The 7,686-nt window shown below is 32.9% G+C and overlaps 1 long non-coding RNA gene across 1 annotated transcript; it reads right to left on the bottom strand.

The window, feature by feature from the left end:
• Nucleotides 1-1,204: 1,204 nt before the first annotated feature.
• Nucleotides 1,205-2,358, bottom strand: LOC124903075 (uncharacterized). The gene is made up of 2 exons (XR_007063579.1): nt 2,285-2,358; nt 1,205-1,588 (listed from the first exon to the last, which is right to left on the bottom strand). It is a non-coding gene; the product is annotated as an uncharacterized LOC124903075 (long non-coding RNA).
• Nucleotides 2,359-7,686: the final 5,328 nt, after the last annotated feature.

A 7,686-nucleotide genomic window follows, 5' to 3' on the forward strand; every position in this document is an offset into this window, starting at 1 on the left:
GGCATGCTAATATCTCTTCGAGATCCTGATTTCATTTCTTTTGGATAAATACCCAGAAGTAGAATTGCTGGCACATACATTATTGCTATTGTTTTTTGAGAAACTTCCATACTGTTTTCCATAATGGTGTCACCACTTTGCATTCGCTATTACAAGGATTTCAGTTTCTCCACATCTTTGTCAACACTGTTGTCTTTTTCAGTTTACGTAATATGCATTCTAACAGGTATGTGGTGATATTTCACGTGGTTTGAATTTGCATTTTCCTGAGGATTAGTGACATTGTGCATTTTTTTCATAAACCTGTTGACCATTTGTCTGTCTTTTATGCAGAAATGTCTATTCAAGTCAAAGGCAATTATACCACGAGGTATAGTTCCTGTAGAAATTTGTTCATATACTTATTAGAATCTTTTACTCAAAATCTCAACTTGAAATTTATCAAAGTTAGAGCGTGGATCTATTTATTAATGTACGGATTTCCAGTGCTTGCCACAGATATTATTACACATTTCTCAATAAATTTTTCTTCAACTTATGATTGATAGATAAATAGGATATAGATTAATTCTTAGTAGGAGATAGATAGTAGTAGGAGGTAGATATTTTTAGGTTGGAAGCTTCATTACCATTTCCAAGATATTAAGTAAAATTTAAACACCAAAAGTTAAATAGGCAGACATAATTTTTAAGAATCTGTTTTTGGCAGTTATATATGATATTAAGGAAAAATTACTATTACCAGCTTGATATGTTGCATCCCAGTACTGACTGTTACAATAATAATCATAACTCTCACTTATCTTTTTTCTGTGTGTCTAGAAGTTTACCACTAAGACAATGAGGCAGCAGCCAGCTCTGTGCATTCTCACTTGTGGATTATGTAGCAAATAAGCAACTTATAAAATAAGGCACTTTTAGTTGTATAGGAAATAAAGAAAGTAAAACAGATTTGGGGAAGTAAGAACCTAAGAATTCACCCCTGATATTGCAAATAACAAGGTTTTGGTCCTAAAAAATTATAACTTGCCTAAGCTATATGATTATTTTATTGTCAGAGATGGGACTACATCCAAAAACCTTAGCATGTTTTTCTTTCTATAAAGCAATGTTGATTCCCTTCATGAAGATCTTAAAATTAAAAAGAAGGAATATAAGCCTACATGTTGGTGCACGAAAGCAAAAAAACACTGAAAAATATCTATCCAAAACCAACTCAGTTTATTTGTGCATTCATTCAGCCAGAAAAACATTCATTAACAATCTCAGTCTCAAGACTGCTTACACAAAACATCGTTTCTGGCAACAAGAGCTTCCTATTTAGTGAAGGATGCAGATAAGTAAATAGACTGTTACAAAAATGTTGTAGCAAATTCTCTGATAGAAGGAATCACAAGAACTACAAGATGGCACATCTTATCCAGATTGGGTGGTTAAAGCAACCTCCAATCTTTTTTTTAAAATGGCCTCTAAATTTTTAAAAATAATGTACTACCACACGTCTTTTAATTTTCATATGTAAAATTGGCAACATGGAGTCTTCATTTCATATCAGTCAGTTCTGCATCCATGGATTCAACCAACTGATCTAAAATATTCAGAAAATAAAATCAATAGTTGTATCTATATGGAATACATGCAGACTTTTCTCTTGTAATTATTTCATAAACAATATAGAATAAAACTGTATATCATTTACATTGTATTAGGAACTAATAAGTAATGTAGAGGTGACTTAAAGCATACAGGAGGATGTGTGTAGGTTATACGCAAATACTATATTATTTTATATCAGAGACTTGATCATCCTTGGATTTTTGTGTCCCTAGGGTGTCCTGGAACTAATCCTGCACAGCTATTGAGGGATGACTGTGTACAGATCCATAAGATTTCATTTTTAGCATAATATAACTTTAAGAAAAAATAAAATTATTATATATCTCTTTTAAATATTTCCCCTGAAGTGTAAGCCTTAAAGCAATTCCATATCACCATCATTTATTAAAATGTATGTAAACAAGCTCTTCTTTGGAAGGCAGAAATTGCCTATCATTTATTTTAATCCTTGAACTCATCTTTCCATTTCAATTATAATGCACTTTAGCCCTTGAAAATATTTTATTGATTGTCCTAACATCATTTCTGTGATAAAAATATGTATATAGATAATACAAATTTAAAGTGTAATGTAAACATATAATACATACATAGACTTTGATATATAATATGTAATATAATTGTTACTATAAAATTTATATTAATAATATAAATAAATTTAACTTACTTTTCCAATTTTCTGGAATCATATGGCTCCAGCTACTAAAATATTTTGTCTAGAGTTACCATTGTAATGTTTATTACTGCCAACTGATAAAACAAGAGAAATATGTGACTAAATGAATGAAATATATGAGAATTGTTTTTATCTATTTTTAATGAATACTGTTATTTGAATAAAGCAGATTACAATATTAACTTTATTCCTCTTTTTAAAACTGTTTTCATGAGGTTAAAGCTTATAAATTATTTTACATAAACATATATGTGTGAATGAAAAGAATATTCTAGAACAAAAGTACCAATTTTTAAAACTTCTTTTAGCTTAATATGCCAAAAATTATGTAATAGTCTTCCATCAAATATTTTTAATGAATCAGCAGCTCAACTAGGCATTTCCTCAGTTTTGTTTAAGGCAAAAATTTAAAGCTATCAGACATAAAATGGATTTGTTACCAAGAGAAAATTTGTTACCAAAAGAAATTCTCTTTCTGAATTTCTGAAAACTATACATATGAGGATAATTACTAATTTTGCTTACTATCCTTTCATTTAGAGGATTTATAAATTAGGCTTTATAAATTAGGAATTGGGCCCCTAGTGTCAAGTTTATAATGGTTTATTAATTGTATTAATAATTGTTTTTAATTGTATTAATGGTAGAATTTACAACATTCTATAAATAATTAATAGGAATGAATAATAAACATATATCTGATTGCAATGAATTTGGGGAGTATGGAAATTTCCCTAAATTTAAAAATGAAGATAGCAAGAATATGCTTACTTTTATAAGAAACCACAAAACTTGTTTTCCAAGGGACTCTAGCAGCTTGCATCACCACCAGCAGTGCATAAGAGTTTTAATTATTCCAAGTCCTTGCCAATACTTGCTATCATTAGCTTTTTAAAATTAGTCCTATTAGCTTTTTAAAATTAGCCCTTCTAATAGATGTGTCATATTTTATATTGCATCTTAATTCATATTTTTATGATGACCTATAATGTTGAGCATATTTTATAATTTATTCATAATTTATTTTCCTCTCAGATGCTTTATTTGATCATGTATGTGTTGAATTATTTTGCCCTTTCTAAAAAATATCAGGCTGTCTTATTACTGAATTTCAAGAGTTCCTCATGTATTCTAAAGAGTTCTTTATCAGATGTATATTTTGCCATATCTCCCAGTTTGCAGTATGCCTTTTCATTTTCTTAAGAGTATCTTTTGAAGCACAAAAGATAGCTAGTTTTTATGAAGTCCAATTTATCAATTTTTTAGCAGTCCACACTTAAGTGCTTACCTAAGAGTTATGAAAAGACATTACAATGACTTGTACTTAAATGTTTATAGCATTTTATTTATAATAGACAAAAATTGGAAGCAACCCACGTGTCTACTAACTAGTAAATGGATAAACAAAATGTTGCATATTCATACAATGGAATAATACCTACCAATAACAATAAATGAACTATAGATATGTGCAATAACAGATAAAGCACACATGTATTATGCTAAATAAAAAATGTCCACCAGAAAAGACTACATTCTGTATTATCTATTTATATGAAATCCTGCAAAAGACAAAACTATGTTATAGGAAGAAGGCAGATAATAGCTCCTAGGGGCCAGAGGTGGGGAAGGGAGATTGACTAATAAAGGGCACAAGGGAACTTTTTTGAGGAGATGCAAATATTCTACATCATGACTGTGGAGGTCATTACATGAATGCATGTATCTGCCCAAACTCATTCATTGTATACTGAAAATTGGTGAATTTTATGTTTGTAAATTGAAAAACAGTTTTTTCTTAATTGGTTAAAAAATTAGTATAGATTTACTCATTTTTTATGAATTTTAATCAAAAACACGTATCTTACTTTCAGTATACGTTCCCTTTAATCAAAAAATAAAATTGGTGGAAGCGAATGTATACAGAACTAGAGCCAAGATCATTAAAAAGTCAATGTTTTCACTACCCCTAGTCTACCACATATTAATTTTTAAAAATTCATAGCCCCACTTTCCCCAGAAGAGAAATTTGAAATAAAAGACAAAAAAATTAAGCCATATATCAGGTATTAACCTTGACTAAGGAGGCTTCACTAACACCAACTCTTGTAATAGGTTTTTTTGGTGTTCTAAAGAATCTTATGCCCTGGAGCAAGATGAGACGGATGAGTGACTGAAATTGTCAAAAGCTCTTTTACTAAAATTCCTTACTGGACATCAGATGTATAGAATATCATTGCCTCTGCAACATGATGGGGCACAAGAAGAAAGACTGTGTGTCCTGTTGAGGTGAAGTACCCTGACCTGAATGTCGATTTCTAACAGCTTTCATCTGAAATGACACATCAGCAAGAAGGAGCACAGAACCCTTCAGGACGTCAGCAGAGGCAGAGCTGAAACCACATAAAGCAGGTGTAGAGAAGAGGAATGACATCTTACAGTCTTCAAAAAACTAGCTGCTAAGATGTTTGAAAGAGCATGAGGATACACAATATTGAGCAGAAGATGATACTTTATACTCATATCATTTAACTTAAAAACCATGTATATTCTTTCCTACAGTCATTAATCACTAAGGAAAAAGAGATAGCCCTCCAAATGATCATTAAGGGAGAAGGAGGAATTTCAGCTAAGAACATCACCTGTCCTATTTTCTCACAATTTCAGTGTCTCATCAATGACAGCAGTGTCAAACTCCTATAAACCTTAATAGGGAAGGTACCAGGTTCAAGAGGCTGAAAAAGAGACCCAGAGCAGCAAACCATACATGGGGATTTATTAAGGATTTACACACAGGACACAGAGTCCAGTGATGACAGGTCAGATAGGAGAACTGCCTTACATACAGAAACGGTCCAGTGGCAGCAGGCTAGTCGAGACATCTGCCTTCCTACAGTTCAGTGGCAGCAGGTTAGGCAGGAAAATTGCAACCGCTTTCAAACAGCAGACAGTTTATATAGCCTTTTTGCTTAGCACATTCCCCTTAATGATCTCCACCTGGCAACCTTTATTTAACCCAAAACTCAGGGCCTCAATCCCCTGTACAGCTCACATTCCGTGGGAAAAGCCAGGGGTTCAGTTATTCCTCATAGACAAGGAACAAATCTCCGGGCTGGACATTCCCGGATTCCCTAGCTCAGAACACACATTCAGATGCGTCTACTATACAGGGTCATTCTAAGGGTATGCTTGTTATTGCTTTCAGATGTGTTTACCCTACAATGACCCACATAATGCTGCATTGCTTCCAACTTCATAAATAGAGCAGCCTTCTCTACCTATATCACGGCCATCTTTGGGCCATTTTGAATTAGTTGCCTTAGGGATTTCTTTCTGTCTTTCAATTCCCTGAAATAAAGCAGTTTTTCTGACAGTCTATGCCTTCTGTTCTTTATGTCCTTTAATGTGATCCTTTCTCTTAAAATCCTGTCATGAGAAGCTTAGACAATCTTGCCTTCCCCAGATTCTTTTTCACAGTTATCACAGCATACATGTACTTTATATCTGAGGTCAGCTTGTACTATTCTTACCCCTTGTATCTGTTTTGTTGCATATTATCAGGAAGTAAGTAGATCCCTTTCCAAGTTGAATCTTTATCAGTTGAACACCTGCAAGGATAACAATCATTTGCAATTAACCAATTTTGAAGCACTCTTTCCTCCGTGGGTTAGCCTGCTATGTGAACATAAGCTCAACCCAGTGGTTATGTTTTTCTACTCCCTACCCAAGGTTTGAGTCTGTATCTTCTCCATATTTTCTCACTTATATGCTGTGATTACTTAAGTTAATTTTAATGATTTTTTTCTAATATTTTGGGGATTAAATGAACATTAACATTAATGAAGAATCTAATTTGCCAAAGATTTTGTAACCATCTAATATGTGTAGGATCTGGGTTTACACACTGTCCAGGATATAAAGATAATCAAGATGGAATTCTAATCTTCAAGGGAATATCTAGTACAAATTGGAGAGGACATGTCAAAAATAATTCTAACATGAAATAGGTGATGTATGTAGTAAAAGTATGAAATTCCATGTAAGCAACTAAGAAAAAAGACATCGTAGAGAGGGCTTGTTCAAACACAGATTTCTTTGTCCCATCTCCAGAATTTCTGATTTAGTAAAGGTGGGATAAACCTTGAGAATTTGCGTTTCTAACAAGTACCCAAGTGATGCTGATGCTGCTAGCTGAAGGACCACATTATGAAAACCTCTGATCTGGTTTATGCCTTCTCATTATACAGATGAGAAAATTGAGTGAGAGAGAGTGAAAACCTGCCCAAATGTGCATAGCTTGTTATAGTGGAACTGGAATTAAGATCCAAGTCCCTTGGTTGCAGTTGAGGTTTCCTTTTCTTACTATATGCTTTTTTGGAGCAATACCTGGAAGGAGGGAAAACATTTCCAAAGAGTAAAGTTAAGAAGGGCTTCCCATGCCTAATGAACATGGGCTTTCCTGCAGGTGTGTCAAGTGATTCAGTTTGTCTAATGTGTCAGCTGTGGGTAGAGGCAGACTGTGAGCTGTAACAGTATTGATCAGTTCAGCTGTTGTGTCTTGAGTGAACTTTGGGAAGAAGGCCAGCAGACAGCTAGGATGTTGCTATAAAATCCAGTTCAGAGGTAAGAAAAGTCATAGCTAGTGTTAATGGAGTAACAGTGAAGTAACAACTTGTCTACTTGTGATTAGGAAGTAATCAATTCTTTACCTTTTTTAAGCTAGAAAATATCCTTCGTAATAAACTCAGAATAAGGAACTGAAATTCCTGACTGCAAAAGAACACAAGTGGAAAGGACAGAACAAAATACTTATTCAACCCTATTTTCATTATCAGGATTAACTCTTTAATGTTGCATTAGAAATACACTGTGAATATTCCAGCATCAAAATGAGTTGGAATGATCAATAATTTGAAAAGAAACAGTAATTCTCTAAGCAAAGTCTTAAACCTCTTTATTAATAACTCAAAACAGATAAAAATCATATTCACATCTTCTGGCACCTGATATCCATCTTGATAAGTTACCTGAAAAGAAAAAAACATTAAGGAACACTGAGTTTAAAGATTTAAATATATTCTCATTAAGAGGTCAAAGATTTTTTAAAAATTGTCAGAGACAATTTTTAATGAATATATAAATTTTCATGTTTATACTTTGGCTAAAACTACACAAAGGATTTTGTCCGAGAGGAAATTAAAGGAGGATTTTGTTCAAGAATTTAATTTCCTAAATCTGACTTTTATTCTTTTTTTTTTTTTTTTTTGCCCAGAAAAGGCCAGCAAAAGATTTCAGAATCAGACTCATCTGGCATTTTTTTCTGGGGAAAAACTAGAAACTAAAGGATCCATTGTGTAACTGAAAGCCTGTTTACTTAAGGGGCTTGAATTCAT

This window comes from Homo sapiens, chromosome 12, assembly GCF_000001405.40.
Source record: "Homo sapiens chromosome 12, GRCh38.p14 Primary Assembly".
Classification (NCBI taxonomy): Eukaryota; Metazoa; Chordata; class Mammalia; order Primates; family Hominidae; genus Homo; species Homo sapiens.